Here is a 21,321-nt window from a genome sequence, read left to right as displayed (position 1 = left end):
CATCCAAGGGTTTGTGAGCACACAAGTCTAAAAGTGTGGCCTCAGCTCTGCTAACTTCATCAAGGTGAATACCTAGGAGGCCACCCTCTGAGACCACCAGATGGACAGTCCACCATCTGTTTACAGATGGTAAAGCCACATACCAGCTTTGCCATCTGATGTTCTCTATTCACATTCAACATTTATACAAGAAATAGTCATATGGATCCTTTTCAATAGACAGTACTGGGGAAATTGAATTGCCATATGCAGAAGAATGGAACTAGACCTCTATCTCTCACCAAATACAAAAGTTAACTCAAGACAGATTAAAGACTTACATATAAGACCTGTAACTACAAAAACACTAGAAGAAAACCTAGGGAAAATGCTTCTGGAATTAATCTAGGTGAAGAACTCAGGACTAAGATATCAAAAGCACAAGCACCAAAACAAAAATAGACAAACAGGACTTAATTAAACTAGAACGCTTCTGAACAGCAAGAGAAATAATCAATAGAGTGAACAGATAATCTGCAGAATGGGTGAAAATATTTGCAAACTATGCATCCTACAGGGAAATAATGTCCAGAATTTAGAAGGAACTCAAACAATTCAACAACAACAGCAAAATAACCCCACCAAAAAAGTGGGCAAAGGACATGAATAGACATTTTTCAAAAGAAGGTATATGATATGGTTTGGCTCTGTGTCTCCACCCAGATCTCACCCTAAATTGTAATAATCCCCACATATCATGGGAGAGACCCGGTGGGAGGTAATTGAATCATGGGGGCAGGTTTGTCCCATGCTGTTCTCATGATACTGAATAAGTCCTATGAGATCTGATGATTTTATAAAGGGGAGTTCCCCTGCACACACTCTCTTGCCTGCCTCCATGTAATATGTGCCTTTGCTTCTCCTTTGCCTTCTGCCATGATTGTGAGGCCTCTCCAGCCATATGGAACTGAGTCAATTAAACCACTTTTTCTTTGTAAATTACCCAATCTTGGGTATGTCTTTATTAGCAGCATAAGAACAGACTAATACAGTATACAAATGGCCAAGAAGCGTACAAAAAACAAAATGCTCAAATCACTAATCACTAGAGAATCGCAAGTTAAAACCACAATGAGATATTATCTTACAGCAGTCAGAATGCCTATTATTAAAACACCAAAAAATAACATGTTGGCAAGGATGCAGAGAAAAGGGAATACTTACACATTATTAGTGGGAATGTAAACTAGTACAGCTTCTGTGGAAAACACTATGGAGATTTCTCAAAGAACTAGAAATAGAACTACCATGTGGTTCAGCAATACCACAACTGGGTATCTACCCAAAGGGAAATAAATTATTATATAAAAAAGATATCTGCACTCACTTGTTTATTGCAGCACTATTCACAATAGCAAAGATATGGAATCAACCCAAGTGTCCATCAACAGATGATTGGATAAAGAAAACGTGGTGTGTGTGTGTGTGTGTGTGTGTATACACATACCACAATGAAATACTATTCAGCTATAAAGAAAAGAATGAAATCATGTCTTTTGCAGCAATGTGGTTGGAACTGGAGGCCATTATCTTAAGTGGATAATTCAAAAACAGAAGGTCAAATGTCACATGTTCTCACTTATAAGTGGGAGCTAAATGATGTGTACACATGGACATAGAGTGTGGTATGATAAACACTGGAGATTGAGATGGGTGGAAGGGTGGAAGGAGGTTGAGTGATGAGAAAATACTAAATGGATACAATATACATGATTCAGGCGATAGATACACTAAAAGCCCAGACTTCACCACTACACAGTATAGCTATGTAGCAAAATTGCACCTGTATTGCTTAAATTTATACAAGTAAAAAAAAGATCATACGAATTCTGTTTTTTATTCTCTATGAAATTACTACTGAGAGTATTATCCAATGCCGTTTCTATGCAGTGCCCCCAATATTATCCATTTAGCAGCTCCTATGCAATGCCCCAAGATAGAAATTGTCTTCAACTTTTATCCCAGGAAAACCTTCAGTCACACGTAGAAACTAGAAATTTTTCCCCTAGATGAAAGTTATGTAACATAACACATTATCTTCATTTAGTCGGTTTCCAAGAAGCTCAGAACCAGATTTTATGTTCAATCAAAAACTGCTTATTTTAAGTGAGGTTTACTGAGGTATAAATTACAATAAAAGCCACCTTTTCGTGTATATTTCTATAAGTTTTGGCAAATGCATAGCTGTGTAACCACAACCACATTCAAGATATAGGACAAGTCCCTCATCCTTTAAAGTTCCTTTATGCCCCTTCCTTCACCCCAGCCCTTGGCAACCACTGGTTTTTGTCTGATCCAATCGTTTGCCTCTTCCTGAATGTCATGTAAATAGAGCCATGCAATGTGAAGCCTTTTGAGTCTGGCTTTGTTCACTTGTTCACTTAGGAGAATGCATTTGAGATTCATCCTTGCTGTTTCGTGTAGCACTAGTTCACTGTCTATTGTTGAGTAGTATTCCATTGTGTGGATATGCCACAGATTGTTTATCTAGTTAACAATTTAAAGCCATTTGGTCATTTCTAATTTTTAGCTGCTAAGAATAAAGTTGCTGTAAGCTTTCCAATGCAGGTTTTTGTGTGAACTCAGGATTTCATTTCACTTGGGTAAATTCCTAGCTTTGGGACTGCTGAGTCATCTGGTAGGTGTATGTTGAACTTTATAAGAAACTGCCAAACTGTTTTCCAAAGTTGCTGTGCTCTTTTGCACTCCCATCAGCAGTGAATGAGGGTTCCACTTGCTCGAGCCTAGTATTTTAACTTCACTATATACCTTCTTTGATGACATATCCTTTCAAATTTTTGGTCAAGTTTTTATTGGGGTGTTGTTACTATGGACTGTGAGAGTTCTTTGTATATTCTGCATATGATTTTTTTCTCACATTTGTGTTTTATGAATATGTTCTCCCAATGTGTGGCGCCTTTTATTTTCTTAACGTGCCATGTGAAGAGCAGAAGTTTAATTTTATGATGTCCAAATTATCTTTTTTTCTTTTCTTTTTTAGATCAAAATAGGGGTCTATTTTGATTACCACTGTTATTTTATCTCCATTTGATTTTCGATTTTTATTTTTATTTTTCTAATTTCATTGTAAATTTTTAATTAAACCCAAATATTCTAGGGGAAAGAGGCAAGATAAAAATAGTCTAACTTGGGCATAAATTTTAGAGTCATATTCTCTTGCCGAGAAAGGAAACTAGCTCTCTTACATTGATTGTTTAATTTCAGACGTCACTACTTTATGAGGATGCCCAAATTATGGGCTTTAAAAAATATATATCCAAACAGGGGTTCAGAAAGAATAACTAATTTGTCCACAACAACACAAAAAATGATTCCACCATAAGTTTGCCCAGTGACAGGGTCTATATTATTTTCTATATATCAAATTCTACAACTGGTTCTTAAAGCTACTGTACATAACCTAAGTTAAAATATTAGGTATTAGTTGATAAGACATTTTATCATCTATGAAATGTTGCCTGTTGTCATAGTTAGAGAATCTTTTAAAATATGGAGCTGTTTTCATAGATTAAACTATGCCAGTTAAAAGTTGGGTAAAAAGAACTACAGAATAATATTTATGTTTATCGTGTAAGGTTTTAAAGCAAACTCCAAGTCATTTTCATCAATGAAATCAATAAGGTTTTGCAAATATATATGTATGAAAATACTGATTTAAAATGCAAATAAGGGGAGAGTTTGAGAGAGAGAGAGAGACCAAATGATTTTATAATTCTAGTAAGTTTATAGGTTTATGGGGTTTTTACGTACTTTTCTACCCAACTTGTCTATAAGACTTTAATGAATCACTTAGAATTTTTAAAATAATTTATTATTACTCTGTACCTGTTCTTTACTCTGCAAATCTTACCTTGCCCTTTTGTCTAAAAGCAATAAAATCTGACCTGGTTTATATCGTATCATTGATTTTGTTACTTAGCAAGCACAATGATCCATTAGGCCTATGTAGGCTCATGGTTTATACAACACTGCCATCTGCTGACAGAGTGTGACAGTCACAGTCAGCAACACGAGACCACTTTATTTTCATTTTTAGTGTTTATAGAAATATGAATATACACAAATAGTATAATGAACCCTAAGCTTCACAAATTAACATTTTGCTAATCTTGTTTCAACTACCGCCTCCCCCCTCATCCAATTACTCTGTTCTCTCACCTCCTCACACACAGACACTGGCAGTATTTTTCAGCCAATCATTAATACGTTGCCAACTGATAAGGACTTTTAAAAAACAACCACCATTCCATTATGATTCCCAGCATAATTGAGAGTAATTCCCTAATATCCAATACCCATTTTCTATTCCAATTTCCTTGATTGTCTTTAAACTGTCTTTACCCTAAGTTTGCTTAAATCAAAGTCCAGGTCCTGTTAAACATATGGTTAAGTTTTACCCAAACCCAAATAAATAAATAAATAAATAAATAAATAAATAAATAAATAACCTATTTTTTCCAATTCCAGGGAATAGTGAAAGAGGGTAAATGCCATTATTTAGAAACATAAATCACATCATAGGACTAGAATTATCTTGAAGTCAAAATTGAAGACTGAAAATGGAAAAGAAAGGTATAGACTAAACTTATTTAAAAACTTCAATGCAGAACTCTAAGAGAAGATATTAGAAAGTTGTACCAGCATTCATTATTCAGTATTCATCAGTATTCACTCAGCTATATGTAGTTGAAATCTAACTAGAGGAGCTTGATCAGATAAAGAGATACATTTTTCTCACCAAGGCGGACTCTGGAGGCAGGTGGTTCAGAGCTAGACAGCTGCTGCAGGACCCAGGTCCTTTCCCTGCCTGCTCCTCCACTCTAGCTTGTGACTTTCATCCTGCAAGATGGGTGCTTCTGCCAAGTTCCAGATAGAAGAAGATAGAACACAAAGGAGAAATAAGCAGTGGTGCCTCTGTCCATCAAGCAAAATTTTTCCAGAAATGCACAATAGATTTCAGATGATGTCTCAACAGTCCTAACTGCAAAGAAGCTGAGGAATTAGATTTTTGGCTGGGACACTGTTGCCCTGTAAAAAAATTGGGATTCTGTTATTAAAGAATAAGAGGAGGGAAGAAAGATTGAAAACTCCTATGCAATAGTGAAAAAAATAAGAAACTCAATAAAAAAGTGGGCATACCTTAAAAACAGGCAATTCACAACAGATGAGACCCCAATAGCCAATAAACATTTTTAAATGGTCAACCTCATGAGTGATCAGAAAACACAAATATGTATTTTAAACCAAAAATAAAATACAACGTATTGACCATTTGAGTGGAAAAAAATTAAAAAGCCTGATAATATCAAGTATTGGAGAGGATGTAGAGTGAGGAAACTCCATGGAGGACTTATCATTGCAAATGTGGGAATGAAACTTAATACACGAATTTGAGGCCAATTTGTAAATTGAAAAATGCGCACACCCTGCAACCAAGTACCCCTTGCAATATTTTTGAAAAGACAAAAACGTTATGTAAATGGAATCATGCAATATGTGACCTTTATACTCAGCATAATGCCCCTCAGATCCATTCAAGTCATGTGTATCAACAGCTCACTATTTTTTTTTTAATTTTTTTTAGAGACAGAGTCTCACTCTGTCACACAGGGTGGAGTGCAGTGGCGAGATCATAACTCTCTCTAGCAGCCTCGAACTCCTGGGCTCAAGCTTCCTCCTGCCTCAGCCTCCCAAGTAGCTAGGACTACAGGCATGGGACACAACACACAGCTAATTTTTTTAAATTTTTTTTAGAGACATGGTCTCACTATGTTGCCTACGCTGGTCTCAAACTCCTAGGTCAAGCGATTCTCCCACCTCTACTTCACAAAGTGCTGTAGGTATGTAGGTATGGATTGTAGGTATGAACCACCGTGCCCAACTCACTACTTTTTATTACTAATTATTCCATGGGATGGATGTACCGCAGTTTGTTTTACCATTAATCTATTGTAGGACATTTTGACTGATTCCAGTTTTTTTTTAATACAAATAAAACCACTATGAATAGTTGTGTATTGTATACGTTTTTGTGCTAAGTTTTCATTTTTCTGGGATAAGTTTTCATTTCTTTGGGCTTTTACTGTATCCTTGATATTATAATATGTTACATCTTCAGTTTTATTCTATTCAATATATAATCTTTTATTTTCCTTGAAATCTCCCATGGATTGTTTAGAAGTGTGTTGTTTTGTTTCCAAGGGTTTGGCATTTTTCCCATTATTTTTCTATTATCGATTTCCAGTTTGATTCCAGGTGGTCAGAGAACACACTTCATGTGATTTCAGTTCTATTAAATTTGTTGAGGTTTGTTACATGGCCCAGTATATGGCAATTTTGGTATATGTTCCATGAGCACTTGAAAAGAATGCGAATTCTGCTGGTGCTGGTTGGAGTTTTCCAGAAATGTTGATTTATGATCTTACTCATTGATGGTGGTGTTGAGTTTGATGTGTTCTTACGATGGCAGCTTTAACATTCTTGTCAGGTAATTCTAACGTCTCTGTCATGTCAGTATTAGCGCCTCTTAACTGTCTCATCAAAGCTGAGATTTTCCTGGTTCCCCTGGTTCCTGTTGGGATGTGTGGTTTTCATTTGAAATCTGGACTTTGGAGTATTGTGTTATGAGGCTTTGGATCTCATTTAAACTCATCTCAGCGAATTTCCTCTCTTGCCACTCAGGAAGGAGAAGTTGGGTGTTTGAATGGAGCAGAGCCGTTACTGCCTAAGAATTGTTTTACTGGGCTTCCCCTTTCTTTCTCCTTTGACTAGAGAGAGCCAGCTTTTTATTAGGGCTTTATGTTTTTCTGGGCCTGTTGGTGTTTCTGGGTTGACAAACTTCTCCAGAACCAAGTCTGGAATGGATGAGGCAAAAAGAAACCCCGTGGAATGCACTGCTGGGTCGCTCCTTGGGTCCCAATGTTCCTAACTGGTCTGCCTTCTTCTCTCCAGCTTCCAGAGTCTTCATAAGTTTGCTTTACGTACAATGTCCGGGGTTTTTACTTTACTTGAGAGAAATAGGTAAAAGTAATTCTACTCCATCTTTCAGGAAGCAAAAGCCCCCTTGTGTATTTTTTTAAACTTTCAAAAACAAAACAAAAGGCAGCTGCAACAGTAAAGAAGCTAGTAACACCCTTGGTGGGAAATTCAAGTCCAAATACACATTTTAAGTTTGGCTAGCCAGTGAGAACATCAGAATAGTTCAGGTTTTAAACAAATTTATATTTATGATTATGCATATACTAAAAGCTGAAGGCATCTTATATTTACTAAGCACCTATTTTGTTCTTGTTAAAAAGACAGAATTCCATTCCCTAGGAAATTTGGCCTGGCAGCTGGAGCTGATCCACCTGGCCACTAGAGCACAGAGCAGGGAGAGTAGTAGCCCTGCCCCAGCCACCCCTCAAGACAGGATTCTTTCTCTGGGAACTGTAGGTAACACTAAATCGTTCTGGAACACAACAACGAAAGAAGAAAGGAAAGAGAAAGAAAGAAAGGAAGAAAGAAAGAAAGAGAGAGAGAAGGAAGGAAGGGAGGGAGGGAGGGAAGGAAGGAAGGGGAAGGGAAGGGAATGGAAGGGAAGGAAGGAAGGAAAAGGAAGGAAGGGAGGGAGAGAGGGAGGAAGGAAGGAAAGGAAAGGAAGGAAAGAAGAAGGAAAGAAAAAAAGAAAGAAAGAAGAAAGAAAGAAAGACAAGAAAGAAAGAAAGAAAGAAAGGGGAAAGAAAAGAAAGAGGAAAGAAAGAGAAAGAAAGAAAAGAAAGAAAGGAAAGAAAGAGAAAGAAAGAAAAAGAAAGAGAAAGAAAGAGAAAGACAAGAAAGAAAAAGGAAAGAAAAGAAAGAGAAAGAAAAGAAAGAAAGGAAAGAAAGAGAAAGAAAGAAAAAGAAAGAAAAGAAGAAAGAGAAAGAAAGAAAAAGAAAGAAAGAAAGAAAAAGAAAAAGAAAGGAGAAAATGACAGCAATTACTTTTGCAACAACCTAATATAAGTTTTTTAAAAGTTAAATATTCTGTTCCATGCATTGCTGGATACCTTATAAATAACAGGGCATCCTATGACCTGAATTTCCCAAATTATGAGTTGAGGGTTTGAACTAGTTTTAAAAAACAAGGAGGCCAGGCGCACTGGCTCATGCCTGTAATCCCAGCACTTTGGGAGGCTGAGGCAGGTGGATCACGAGGTCAGGAGCTCGAGACCAGCCTTACCAACATAGTGAAACACCGCCTCTACTAAAAATACAAAAATTAGCCGGGCGTGATGGTGCGCACCTGTAATCTCAGCTACTCAGCAGGCTGAGGCAGGAGAATCGCTTGAACCCAGAAGGCGGAGGTTGCAGTGAGCCAAGATCACAGCATTGCACTCCAGCCTGGGCGACAGAGGGAGACTCCGTCTTCAAAAAAAAAAAAAAAGACAAGGAATCTGTAAAACAGGCACTGGAAGTATATGCACTTTTATTTTCATTCTATGCTATCCGATGCCTACTGCTATTTCCCTTCATATTTAACCTCCAACAGCTGCATTTTGCTCCCTCCAGACCACCTGATTGGAGCTCACGTGCTCCCACACAGTACCTCCAACCAGAGAGAGTCGAGTCCCACAGAAAGGCGTAACAATCACCAGTAATTTTGCACTTATTTTACATTGTGCCTTGATACAGAGTACTCAATGAATGCTCTTTGAATCATATTTAATAAATATGTGTATTTGGGATTGTAGCATATTGCAGCTACCTGGATATATAATTTAATTAGAAAAAAAATTTTGTGTGGCTCAATCAACAAACGACTTTTCTCTCTCTCTCTTTCTCTTTCTCCCTCTCTCTCTCTTTCTTCTCAGTTGATGTTGCTGGAGTTCAGTGTTGTGCAGATGGCAGTGACAAATGCCATGGGCACATGAGATATGATAAAAGGTCCCTGAAGAAGGTGGAGAACCAGTTATCTTATGAAATTTTCCAGAGTGGGTACTGGATCTCTCCTGTCTGGCACCATGCTGGCCTCAGCCCAAGGGGAATTTCCTTCCAGAGACAGAGGGCAGTGATTGAGGTGGGGAGACAGATCGTAACACTGAGACTTACATGAGGACACCAAACAGAAAAAAGGTGGCAAGTATAGAAAATTCTTTCTTCTGGACAGTCTTCTCTGTTCTAACTTCAGCAAAATTCTCCCCCCAGTGGATGCTATTGCACAACCCTACATATGCTATGTTTTTTCCTATACACACTTACCTATGATAAAATGCATTAATTAGTCACAGTAAGAGGTTAACAACAATAACTAGTAATAAAATAGAACAATTCAGTAAAATAAGAGTTACTTGAGCACAAACACTAGGATATCATGACAGTCAATCTGATGACCAAGAGGGCTACTAAGCATCTAAACAGGAGGGTAAGTGTAGACAGCATGGAGACGCTGGACAAAGGGATGATTCAGTCCCAGGCTGGTATGGAGCGGAAGGGCATGATATGTCATCACGCTACTAAGGCACACAATTTAAAATGAGTAAATTCTTATTTCTAGAAATTTCTTTTTAATATTTTCAGACTACAGTTGCCTACAGGTAACTGAAACCCCAGAAAGCAAAATTGTGGATAAGGAGGTACTACTGTACATCGTCCTTTGAACCAACTTTATCATTTGCTAGTATATACATATATACCTACATACATACATATACACATACCTGCACACACCTATATGTATACGTACACACACACACACGCACACACACACACTCACATCTACTAATGTTAGAATAAGTTTGCTAAATAAGATGCACAACTTGTTAATGTCCTACAGAGCAATAAAACCATAAGCATTGGGGTTATCTTTTCTACTAGATAAAAATCCATTATCATTTTCATAAAGTTTTCTTTACATTAACATCTAACTTTTGCAATCTAGTTTTTAATCATCATAAATAGGAAGCAAATGAACTGTTTCTCTAGTGAATCAAATATCCTTGAAAACATACATAGTCATCTTTTTGGTTTATTTTTATTTTTAGATAAATTATTTAAAGTTTTAAATAATTTAACATTCACAATAGTTTGTGACTGTATATTTTGACTTGGTCCTTCAAACTTAATTTGTACTTTTATGTATCGTGCTTACCTCAATTTTTTATTCACTTTTCCTAAACTTTGCTGGATTGGTTTATTATTTTTGTCTATTTCTTTTCCTTCTAGTGGTTTGGGAGGGTTTTTTAAATCCCATTACTATTGAATGCCTATTAACTTGCCCCCTTTTTCTTTCAATCTCTATTCCCACGGCCTGAAGCATGAGGGCCAAGCTGTCTGTAACCAGCAGAGAGATGACCCAGGTGTTATTCCACTCTCCACTGTCCACCTATCACCATTCCCAGCCCGATAGCTCTGAAGTACGGCTTTTCTGGGGCTCTGTGGGGAAAACTAGAACTGGCTGCTTCAAGGACACCTCCTGTTTTTGCAATGGAAAAAATGTTTCTAAATTCCAGTTTCTCTATGAATTCAATGACATGGTTTAAATCTCTGTGGTGTTCTTCAAAGTTTTTTCTTCTAATAGGACCTCTCATGATTCTCCAACCACGAAATAAATTCATTATCATTTTTATATTTCTTCTGTCATTGCAAAGGAGGTTTTGAAAGAGTGGAGGACGCGCTAATGAACTCAAAAATCCACACTATTCCTTGTTTCCATCTGTTGTTCATTCATTGTTTCCATTGGCCTGTCCGCCTCCTATCCTCCTTCTTAGACTTGGAGCTCTAGCCTCAGCCAGGATAGGGAAAAGAGAGATCAGACTGTTACTTTGTCTATGTAGAAAAGGAAGACATAAGAAACTCCATTTTGATCTGTATCCTGAACAATTGTTTTGCCTTGAGATGCTGTTAATCTGTAACTTTAGCCCCAACCTTGTGCTCACAGAAACATGTGTTGTATGGAATCAAGATTTAAGGGATCTAGGGCTGTGCAGAATGTGCCTTGTTAACAACATGTTTACAGGCAGTATGCTTGGTAAAAGTCATCGCCATTCTCCATTCTCGATTAACTAGGGGCACAGTGCACTGCGGAAAGCCGCAGGGACCTCTGCCCAGGAAAACTGGGTATTGTCCAAGGTTTCTCCCCACTGAGACAGCCTGAGATATGGCCTTGCGGGATGGGAAAGATCTGACCGTCCCCCAGCCTGACACCCGTGAAGGGTCTGCGCTGAGGAGGATTAGTAAAAGAGGAAGGCCTCTTGCGGTTGAGATAAGAGGAAGCCCTCTGTCTCCTGCATGCCCCTGGGAACGGCATGTCTCAGTGTAAAACCTGATTGTACATTCGTTCTATTCTGAGATAGGAGAAAACCGCTCTGTGGCTGGAGGCGAGATATGCTGGCGGCAATGCTGCTCTGTTGTTCTTTACTACACTGAGATGTTTGGGTGAGAGAAGCATAAATCTGGCCTACGTGCACATCCAGGCATAGTACCTTCCCTTGAATTTACTTGTGACACAGATTCCTTTGCTCACATGTTTTCTTGCTGACCTTCTCCCTACTATCACCCTGTTCTCCTGCCGCATTCCCCTTGCTGAGGTAGTGAAAATAGTAATCAATAAATACTGAGGGAACTCAGAGACCGGTGCCAGCGCGGGTCCTCCGTATGCTGAGTGACGGTCCCTTGGGCCCACTGTTCCTTCTCTATACTTTGTCTCTGTGTCTTATTTCTTTTCTCAGTCTCTCGTCCCACCTGACGAGAAATACCCACAGGTGTGGAGGGGCTGGACACCCCTTCGAGCCAGGATTATCAGGGCATTTGGGGGTCTGCAAAACTAAGCCCCAACTCATCGATTTCACAACTTCATCCAGAGCCAGCCTGAACAGTAGTTGCCCATGATTTCTATGCCTTAATACGAGAAGAGAACATAGGGGCTGGGTGCCAAGTAGGTAGACAGGGAGGGCAGGGAACTCTAAGACAGAGCTTGAGGGGCTCGTTCCTCTTGCAAAATGAAACAAAAACCACAGCACTGAATATGTAAATCTCGGTGGCTGAACCCCTCCTAGGATAGTAAGCCCTGATACAATTGCTGCTATCTTCTCTTTCTCTCAAGGAAGTCAAAAAACACCTGCAGCCTTACTGTCCCCTTGGAAACAAGATGAACATCTACATTTTCTAGAGTGGGACAAGAATCTCTGTTCATATTTATGTCCCATGCATTTGCACGTGGCCGGACAAAGGACTTTGCTTCTGCCAGCACATCTGTCTTCAGATATGAGAGGAAACAGACACAACCTGGAGGCGGCAAAGAAGCAGCTCTTTCTCAAGTGACCTCCTCTATCTCCCTACTTCCTGGCTAATGGGGCAGCCTTGATCCTTGGGAATCCAGGACAGATATCCACTCGTGACAAACTAGCTGGAAGAATGACAACCAATCAGGTTCCAAGCACCACTGGATGTGAACCACAGAATTTCCTCCTCTCCTTGTGGAATGTCAGCTTACGTCTGACAAAAAATGTAAAACTGAGAGAGTTACAATCTTAAGGAGGAGTCAAGCTAAAGCAGAAAGAATCACCTACTCTGGACTCCAGCATGACTGCTGAGCTCAAATATATATATAGAGAGAAAGAACCACAAACTTGAAGATGGATATCAGCTACAGACTTTCCTGAGTCAGGTAGGGAAATGGCCATCCCTCAAACCTTGCAAAAGGCAAACTTATGCCATTGTGTCCTCTGACATACTGGGTGATGTACTGTATGTTACTGATGTGAGGGGAACTTCCTAAATTGGCTAGTAAATTATGCCAAATAAAAAGCAAAAATGATATTTCTTGAAATGTTACATCTGAGGAACATTGCTAAAATAATTTATCAGTAGTTTTCAGGATGATTTATAGATGTGCATTGAAGTGTGTACTTGTGCTCTCTCTCTCCTCTCTCTCTCTCTTTCTCTCCTCTCTCTCGCTCTTTCTCTCCTTGCCCCCCTCCCTCCCTGACTTTCCTTCCTGTCCCCTCCACAGCAGTTTATATTTTTTTTCTGATAATCTAACTTTGCTGAGGGTTCAATGTAAAGCACCTTCAGTGATGAGTTAGTTGGAATGTTCCCCAAGAAATTCTATTTCCAGCACTCTTTTACATGAAATCCAAGAAGCTCTCAGACTATCTTACTGACACCTTGCCTTTCCTCAACAGATCAATCTTATCAATGTCCATCACAGATATTTTGTAGAACGGTGGATCCTGGCAGAGTCTCACAGATGCTTCTGAGACAACATTTGCTTTCAAAAAATGAACCACACACATCCTAAAGATCTCAGCCACTTCCCATGTTTCATTTTATGTTACAGCAAACATCACAACAATCATTCCTACAGATCACCACTGCATGTGATCAATAAAATAGTTTTTGCAACAATGGTACTTATGATAATCATCTTTTATTGTTTACAAATACTGCTTTACAATAGTTATTCGGTTGCACTGTTCATATTAGATTTCCAATTAGCTCACTTAGGAACATAAGTCCCTCGAACAGCTCAGTCATCTTTTTCATTCCTGTTTCTATCCCCTACATCTCTTTCCTTTGCAGACGACTATCTCCTACACTGAAACAGGAAAGCTTTTACCTTTTTGGCATGCTTGATTTAAAGATTATAGAAAAGTATTTGACAAAGAAAACTCACACATGTGTGTACATATCTTTTAAAAAGTTATGTTTATGCATTGCACAGGAATATCGAGAATGCTAATAGGCAATGTCAGAGTTTACTGTTTTTCAAAATTAGTACAGTTTTATTATTTCTAAAAACTATAAAATGAATATATTCACATCACCATACAGAAGAGTAGGAGGAGATGGCATAAAGTGTCATTGTTCCTCCTCTGCAATCCCAGGAGATAACTACCAAGCACAATTTATGTCTTTTAAAATTCAGCCCGTATTTATATACATATATATTCAATGTAGATGGGATCATGATATCTCACCACACATACTCTTCAGTGACCTGCATTTTCACAAACACCTTCCACGTAACTATATAGAAGTCTACGTCTTCCCCTTAATGTCTGCTTTGTGCTACATTGTAAAGCTCTAGCACAGTTTAACCAAACTCCTATTAATGAGGATTTTAGTTATTTTTCACTCTTTAAACAATATTTCCATGTGTAGTCTTATACATACGTCTGTACACACTTATCCCAGTCTAAGGAGTTCCTTTTACCTTCCCCCATCCCAGCATTCCCTGTCACGCTTGTTGCTTCCGTTGAGTGACTTTACTCCTGGAGTATAATCTGCATATAGTTCAGTTAAAAACATGGGATCTGAGTTTAGGTCACAGCTCTGCCACTTACTGCCATAAGCCAGTTCCTTGACCTCTCTGCCCTCAAGTTTTTGCACCTACAAAGTAGGGGATAATATTAGTTCCTAGTTCATAGAGTCTTGGGAATAATTAAATGTGATGATCCATGTACAATGTCTGGCACTTAGTAAGTGCTCAATAAATGTCACCCTTTATGATTGGTATTGCGTGTATGTCTGCAGAGAAAATCACTTTGTGTCCCCTTTAAAAAAGGACTATGCCCTTGGTCAGCTATTTTGCACATTAAATTTCACTTGCCAATGTTAACTCTCCACCTCTAACTTGATCCCTCTCCTTCCTCATCTTCTGGTGAGACCAAATGCTAATTCTGCTATTCAAGGCAACTAGCAAAGCTGCCAGTGACAGAATCAAATAAACCTACCCCTAATCTTTAGAATTGTAGTTATGATTTCTGTTGTAAAAGTTACTGTTGTGGCAGTCAGTATTAGTCTTTGGTCTATGATAGCATCTCTGATCTATTATTGACTTTCAATTAGGTATTTTTTTTTATTTATTCTGAAAATGTTTGTTAAGCATTTGCTAAGTAAAGATACTGGACGGAGCCTCCCAAATACAGGGCAAATAAAACATCAAACAGCTTATAATTTAGAAGGGTAGAAGAGAATCTGAAAGCAGGTAAAAATAAACAGGCACTCGGCTGGGCGCGGTGGCTCACGCCTGTAATCCCAGCACTTTGGGAGGCCGAGGTGGGCGGATCACGAGGTCAGGAGATCGAGACCATCCTGGCTAACACGGTGAAACCCCGTCTCTACTAAAAATACAAAAAATTAGCGAGGCGTGGTGGCGGGCGCCTTTAGTCCCAGCTAGTCGGGAGGCTGAGGCAGGAGAATGGTGTGAACCCGGGAGGCGGAGCTTGCAGTGAGCCAAGATCGCACCACTGCACTCCAGCCTGGGCGACAGAGCGAGACTCCGTCTCAAAAAAAATAAATAAATAAAATAAAAAATAATTAGGTACTCTAGGCCCAGTGACCTGTCTCTGTACTCTGTAAATTCAGGTCACCTGCTCAGGGCTAATCTGAGAGAAGGTCTCTCTTCAGTTGAATTTTGAAAGACAATTAGCAGTTCACAAGCTAACCCAGGTGGACAAAGATGTTCCCAAGCAGAGGGAGTGCTTGTGAAAGCTGGAGGCCATAGAAAAACTCTAAGGAGTGTAGGGAGGTGGGAGTAATGTATGGAAGGGGTGGAGATGGAAGGTTAAGAGAGATACAAGGCTGCAAAAATGGAGCTGGACTCAAAAGAAAATACTGAAAAGGTCTTCAGTGTTGTTGATGAGATTACTATGGAAACACTATGGAACACTGGGACTCCATGGCAGCTCCAAAGATGGCATGCGCCTGGTCCAGCTCAGTAAGAGCTGAGCTCTTCCTGTGCTGTGAAAACAGACAAACCAACCAAGTAAAGTCTACTTTTCTACTCTATTAGTCTTCACTTTGGTTTCGTATACCATCTGGAGCTACATTTCAAAATGCATTTCAAAGTTATGAGCCTTAAGTTGATATATATTTAGTCTACCTTTTTTTAAATAACATTGCAGCAAAGGAGAAGATAAAATAGTAAGACAACCTGTAATTATTACTCATTGAGAAGCTGATGATTTCCATAATTACACTAAATGAAGTTTATCCTTTGCAAAAGCCCCCCCAGCCCACCCCAAAAGAAAGTACAAAAAAACTGGCCATTTTTTTTAATTGCTTGTTTTTCTTTGTAATTAACATTCAGTCTACTTTCTAAAAAATAAATAAATAATAAGCAGTCCAGATGTGGCAAGTTGCTAAAGAAAGGAACCATCAGGCCATAGACGTAAATATATTCTCTTCTTGGATTTTAGGTCTCACCTAAGAAAATAAACACATGCTATGTCAGAGAAGCCTCAGGGCTTCCACACCTGCTCGAAAAGGGAGTTGAGCTTCAGCAGCTGACCCAGGACTCTGTTCCCCTTTGGTGAGAAGGGTTTTTGTTCAGCAAGACAATGGAGAGCTCTCACTGTGGTGGACGTTCGGCCAAGGGACCAAGGTGGAAATCAAACGTGAGTAGAATTTAAACTTTGCTTCCTCAGTTGTCTGTGTCTTCTGTTCCCTGTGTCTATGAAGTGATCTATAAGGTGACTCTGCAATCAGCCTCTGATATCCTTCAGGGAAAAGATAAAGATAAGTCTGTAGTCAAACTCGAGAATTGATTGCACATTTTCTTTGAAGAGCAAGCAAGATTCAGTCATTGGGTGAGAATAACTTGTCTAAGTAATAGCTTCAGAAATGTCCTGGGGAACATAACATGTTCTGGACAGAGCCTTGGTCAATTGTCAGAAAGGGAGTTTTTGTATAGGAGGGAAGTTAAGAGGAACCATTGTGTGTGCAGTTTTGGCCAGGGGACCAAGCTGGAGATCAAACGTAAGTACTTTTTTCCACTGATTCTTCACTGTTGCTAATTAGTTTACTTTGTGTTCCTTTGTGTGGATTTTCATTAGTCGGATGCCAGGGATCTAACAAACTTCATTCCCAGGTTAGGTACAGAGGAGGGGAAATTGTTCCACAGGACGCTAGCTTGTGGCTAATTTTTAAGATTTCTAAATCAAAATAACTTCATTGGGGGAAAGAGGCTTGCTGAGCTTTCAGGGAGGTTTTTGTAAAGGGAAAAGTTAAGACGAATCACTGTGATTCACTTTCGGCCCTGGGACCAAAGTGGATATCAAACGTAAGTACATCTGTCTCAATTATTCGTGAGATTTTAGTGCCATTGTATCATTTGTGCAAGTTTTGTGATATTTTGGTTGAATAAACCTGGTGACCCAGAAGTAAATAGCAGGACACCAGAAAATGAACTTAAAAAGCTGAGCAAATAGACGAATCATTGGGTTTGAGAGGAGAATAGGATTCATGGGGGAAATGGGGAAGAAATAGCTAGATTTTTCTCTGAACAAGCAGCCTATCTCATATGATTGGCTTCAAGAGAGGTTTTTGTTGAGGGGAAAGGGTGAGATCCCTCACTGTGGCTCACTTTCGGCGGAGGGACCAAGGTGGAGATCAAACGTAAGTGCACTTTCCTAATGCTTTTTCTTATAAGGTTTTAAATTTGGAGCGTTTTTGTGTTTGAGATATTAGCTCAGGTCAATTCCAAAGAGTACCAGATTCTTTCAAAAAGTCAGATGAGTAAGGGATAGAAAATTAGTTCATCTTAAGGAACAGCCAAGCGCTAGCCAGTTAAGTGAGGCATCTCAATTGCAAGATTTTCTCTGCATCGGTCAGGTTAGTGATATTAACAGCGAAAAGAGATTTTTGTTAAGGGGAAAGTAATTAAGTTAACACTGTGGATCACCTTCGGCCAAGGGACACGACTGGAGATTAAACGTAAGTAATTTTTCACTATTGTCTTCTGAAATTTGGGTCTGATGGCCAGTATTGACTTTTAGAGGCTTAAATAGGAGTTTGGTAAAGATTGGTAAATGAGGGCATTTAAGATTTGCCATGGGTTGCAAAAGTTAAACTCAGCTTCAAAAATGGATTTGGAGAAAAAAAGATTAAATTGCTCTAAACTGAATGACACAAAGTAAAAAAAAAAAGTGTAACTAAAAAGGAACCCTTGTATTTCTAAGGAGCAAAAGTAAATTTATTTTTGTTCACTCTTGCCAAATATTGTATTGGTTGTTGCTGATTATGCATGATACAGAAAAGTGGAAAAATACATTTTTTAGTCTTTCTCCCTTTTGTTTGATAAATTATTTTGTCAGACAACAATAAAAATCAATAGCACGCCCTAAGAAAAATCAGGGAAAAGTGAAGTGTACCTATTTGCTATGTAGAAGAGGCAGCTTACTTGAAAATCAGCAGCAATGTTGTTTTTAGAGTCTGTAATAAGTAATAAACTCAAAAAGACACATTCTATAGGAATAAGGGCTTCACAGATAGAGCTCATTTTTTAAAAATCCAATTTGTACATTAGACTAAACGTGAAATTATCTCTTATTGTAATGGTGGAAAGGTGGTTATTCCCAAAAGCTCAATCTCAAAGAAATGTGTTTAAATGAAAAAAAGTAAATAATTGCATTTTTTAATGACCGTGGGTCTGTGAAAAAAATAGGAAATATTTTAAAGAGTATGTTCTTTCATTATCCTCTGTTATTACTTGTCTACATTTTTATTCTGCCAAGAAGGCCGTGGCACCGCGAGCTGTAGACAGAGCCGCGGTCTTTCTCGATTGAGTGGCTTTGGTGGCCATGCCACCGCGCTCTTGGGGCAGCCGCCTTGCCGCTAGTGGCCGTGGCCACCCTGTGTCTGCCCGATTGATGCTGCCGTAGCCAGCTTTCCTGATGCACAGTGATACAAATAATGCCACTAAGGGAAAGAGAACAGAAACGTAATGGGCGCTGAGCTGGGAAAACCAGGGAGAAGACTGATTTATTAGAGATTTCAGAAATAAAATTCACATTCATTATGATATCTCATTAGTGAAAATTTCCATTAGGGGATTGTAAATAATTTAAAGCTTTTTTTTTTTTCAGTGCTATTTAATTATTTCAATATCCTCTCATCAAATGTATTTAAATAACAAAAGCTCAACCAAAAAGAAAGAAATATGTAATTCTTTCAGAGTAAAAATCACACCCATGACCTGGCCACTGAGGGCTTGATCAATTCACTTTGAATTTGGCATTAAATACCATTAAGGTATATTAACTGATTTTAAAATAAGATATATTCGTGACCATGTTTTTAACTTTCAAAAATGTAGCTGCCAGTGTGTGATTTTATTTCAGTTGTACAAAATATCTAAACCTATAGCAATGTGATTAATAAAAACTTAAACATATTTTCCAGTACCTTAATTCTGTGATAGGAAAATTTTAATCTGAGTATTTTAATTTCATAATCTCTAAAATAGTTTAATGATTTGTCATTGTGTTGCTGTCGTTTACCCCAGCTGATCTCAAAAGTGATATTTAAGGAGATTATTTTGGTCTGCAACAACTTGATAGGACTATTTTAGGGCCTTTTTAAAGCTCTATTAAAACTAACTTACAACGATTCAAAACTGTTTTAAACTATTTCAAAATGATTTTAGAGCCTTTTGAAAACTCTTTTAAACACTTTTTAAACTCTATTAAAACTAATAAGATAACTTGAAATAATTTTCATGTCAAATACATTAACTGTTTAATGTTTAAATGCCAGATGAAAAATGTAAAGCTATCAAGAATTCACCCAGATAGGAGTATCTTCATAGCATGTTTTTCCCTGCTTATTTTCCAGTGATCACATTATTTTGCTACCATGGTTATTTTATACAATTATCTGAAAAAAATTAGTTATGAAGATTAAAAGAGAAGAAAATATTAAACATAAGAGATTCAGTCTTTCATGTTGAACTGCTTGGTTAACAGTGAAGTTAGTTTTAAAAAAAAAAAAAACTATTTCTGTTATCAGCTGACTTCTCCCTATCTGTTGACTTCTCCCAGCAAAAGATTCTTATTTTACATTTTAACTACTGCTCTCCCACCCAACGGGTGGAATCCCCCAGAGGGGGATTTCCAAGAGGCCACCTGGCAGTTGCTGAGGGTCAGAAGTGAAGCTAGCCACTTCCTCTTAGGCAGGTGGCCAAGATTACAGTTGACCTCTCCTGGTATGGCTGAAAATTGCTGCATATGGTTACAGGCCTTGAGGCCTTTGGGAGGGCTTAGAGAGTTGCTGGAACAGTCAGAAGGTGGAGGGGCTGACACCACCCAGGCGCAGAGGCAGGGCTCAGGGCCTGCTCTGCAGGGAGGTTTTAGCCCAGCCCAGCCAAAGTAACCCCCGGGAGCCTGTTATCCCAGCACAGTCCTGGAAGAGGCACAGGGGAAATAAAAGCGGACGGAGGCTTTCCTTGACTCAGCCGCTGCCTGGTCTTCTTCAGACCTGTTCTGAATTCTAAACTCTGAGGGGGTCGGATGACGTGGCCATTCTTTGCCTAAAGCATTGAGTTTACTGCAAGGTCAGAAAAGCATGCAAAGCCCTCAGAATGGCTGCAAAGAGCTCCAACAAAACAATTTAGAACTTTATTAAGGAATAGGGGGAAGCTAGGAAGAAACTCAAAACATCAAGATTTTAAATACGCTTCTTGGTCTCCTTGCTATAATTATCTGGGATAAGCATGCTGTTTTCTGTCTGTCCCTAACATGCCCTGTGATTATCCGCAAACAACACACCCAAGGGCAGAACTTTGTTACTTAAACACCATCCTGTTTGCTTCTTTCCTCAGGAACTGTGGCTGCACCATCTGTCTTCATCTTCCCGCCATCTGATGAGCAGTTGAAATCTGGAACTGCCTCTGTTGTGTGCCTGCTGAATAACTTCTATCCCAGAGAGGCCAAAGTACAGTGGAAGGTGGATAACGCCCTCCAATCGGGTAACTCCCAGGAGAGTGTCACAGAGCAGGACAGCAAGGACAGCACCTACAGCCTCAGCAGCACCCTGACGCTGAGCAAAGCAGACTACGAGAAACACAAAGTCTACGCCTGCGAAGTCACCCATCAGGGCCTGAGCTCGCCCGTCACAAAGAGCTTCAACAGGGGAGAGTGTTAGAGGGAGAAGTGCCCCCACCTGCTCCTCAGTTCCAGCCTGACCCCCTCCCATCCTTTGGCCTCTGACCCTTTTTCCACAGGGGACCTACCCCTATTGCGGTCCTCCAGCTCATCTTTCACCTCACCCCCCTCCTCCTCCTTGGCTTTAATTATGCTAATGTTGGAGGAGAATGAATAAATAAAGTGAATCTTTGCACCTGTGGTTTCTCTCTTTCCTCATTTAATAATTATTATCTGTTGTTTTACCAACTACTCAATTTCTCTTATAAGGGACTAAATATGTAGTCATCCTAAGGCGCATAACCATTTATAAAAATCATCCTTCATTCTATTTTACCCTATCATCCTCTGCAAGACAGTCCTCCCTCAAACCCACAAG

At 39.1% G+C, this 21,321-nt stretch overlaps 6 gene segments (V, D, J or C) and 1 further gene; 6 read left to right on the top strand and 1 right to left on the bottom strand.

Moving 5' to 3' along the window:
• IGK (immunoglobulin kappa locus) overlaps positions 1-20,943 on the bottom strand; it is a 1,378,008-nt gene extending 1,357,065 nt beyond the window's left edge.
• On the top strand, positions 16,381-16,418 carry IGKJ1 (immunoglobulin kappa joining 1). The segment is given in 1 exon segment: positions 16,381-16,418. A coding segment is annotated over 1 exon segment (38 nt), but the record flags the coding sequence as incomplete, so codon positions are not given.
• On the top strand, positions 16,741-16,779 carry IGKJ2 (immunoglobulin kappa joining 2). The segment is given in 1 exon segment: positions 16,741-16,779. A coding segment is annotated over 1 exon segment (39 nt), but the record flags the coding sequence as incomplete, so codon positions are not given.
• IGKJ3 (immunoglobulin kappa joining 3) lies at positions 17,046-17,083 on the top strand. The segment is given in 1 exon segment: positions 17,046-17,083. A coding segment is annotated over 1 exon segment (38 nt), but the record flags the coding sequence as incomplete, so codon positions are not given.
• Positions 17,381-17,418, top strand: IGKJ4 (immunoglobulin kappa joining 4). The segment is given in 1 exon segment: positions 17,381-17,418. A coding segment is annotated over 1 exon segment (38 nt), but the record flags the coding sequence as incomplete, so codon positions are not given.
• IGKJ5 (immunoglobulin kappa joining 5) lies at positions 17,699-17,736 on the top strand. The segment is given in 1 exon segment: positions 17,699-17,736. A coding segment is annotated over 1 exon segment (38 nt), but the record flags the coding sequence as incomplete, so codon positions are not given.
• Positions 20,621-20,943, top strand: IGKC (immunoglobulin kappa constant). The segment is given in 1 exon segment: positions 20,621-20,943. A coding segment is annotated over 1 exon segment (323 nt), but the record flags the coding sequence as incomplete, so codon positions are not given.

This window comes from Homo sapiens, chromosome 2 (genome assembly GCF_000001405.40).
Source record: "Homo sapiens chromosome 2, GRCh38.p14 Primary Assembly".
In the NCBI taxonomy this organism is placed as follows: Eukaryota; Metazoa; Chordata; class Mammalia; order Primates; family Hominidae; genus Homo; species Homo sapiens.
Note: the sequence above shows the minus strand (reverse complement) of the source record. Positions and strands in the feature narration are given on the sequence as shown.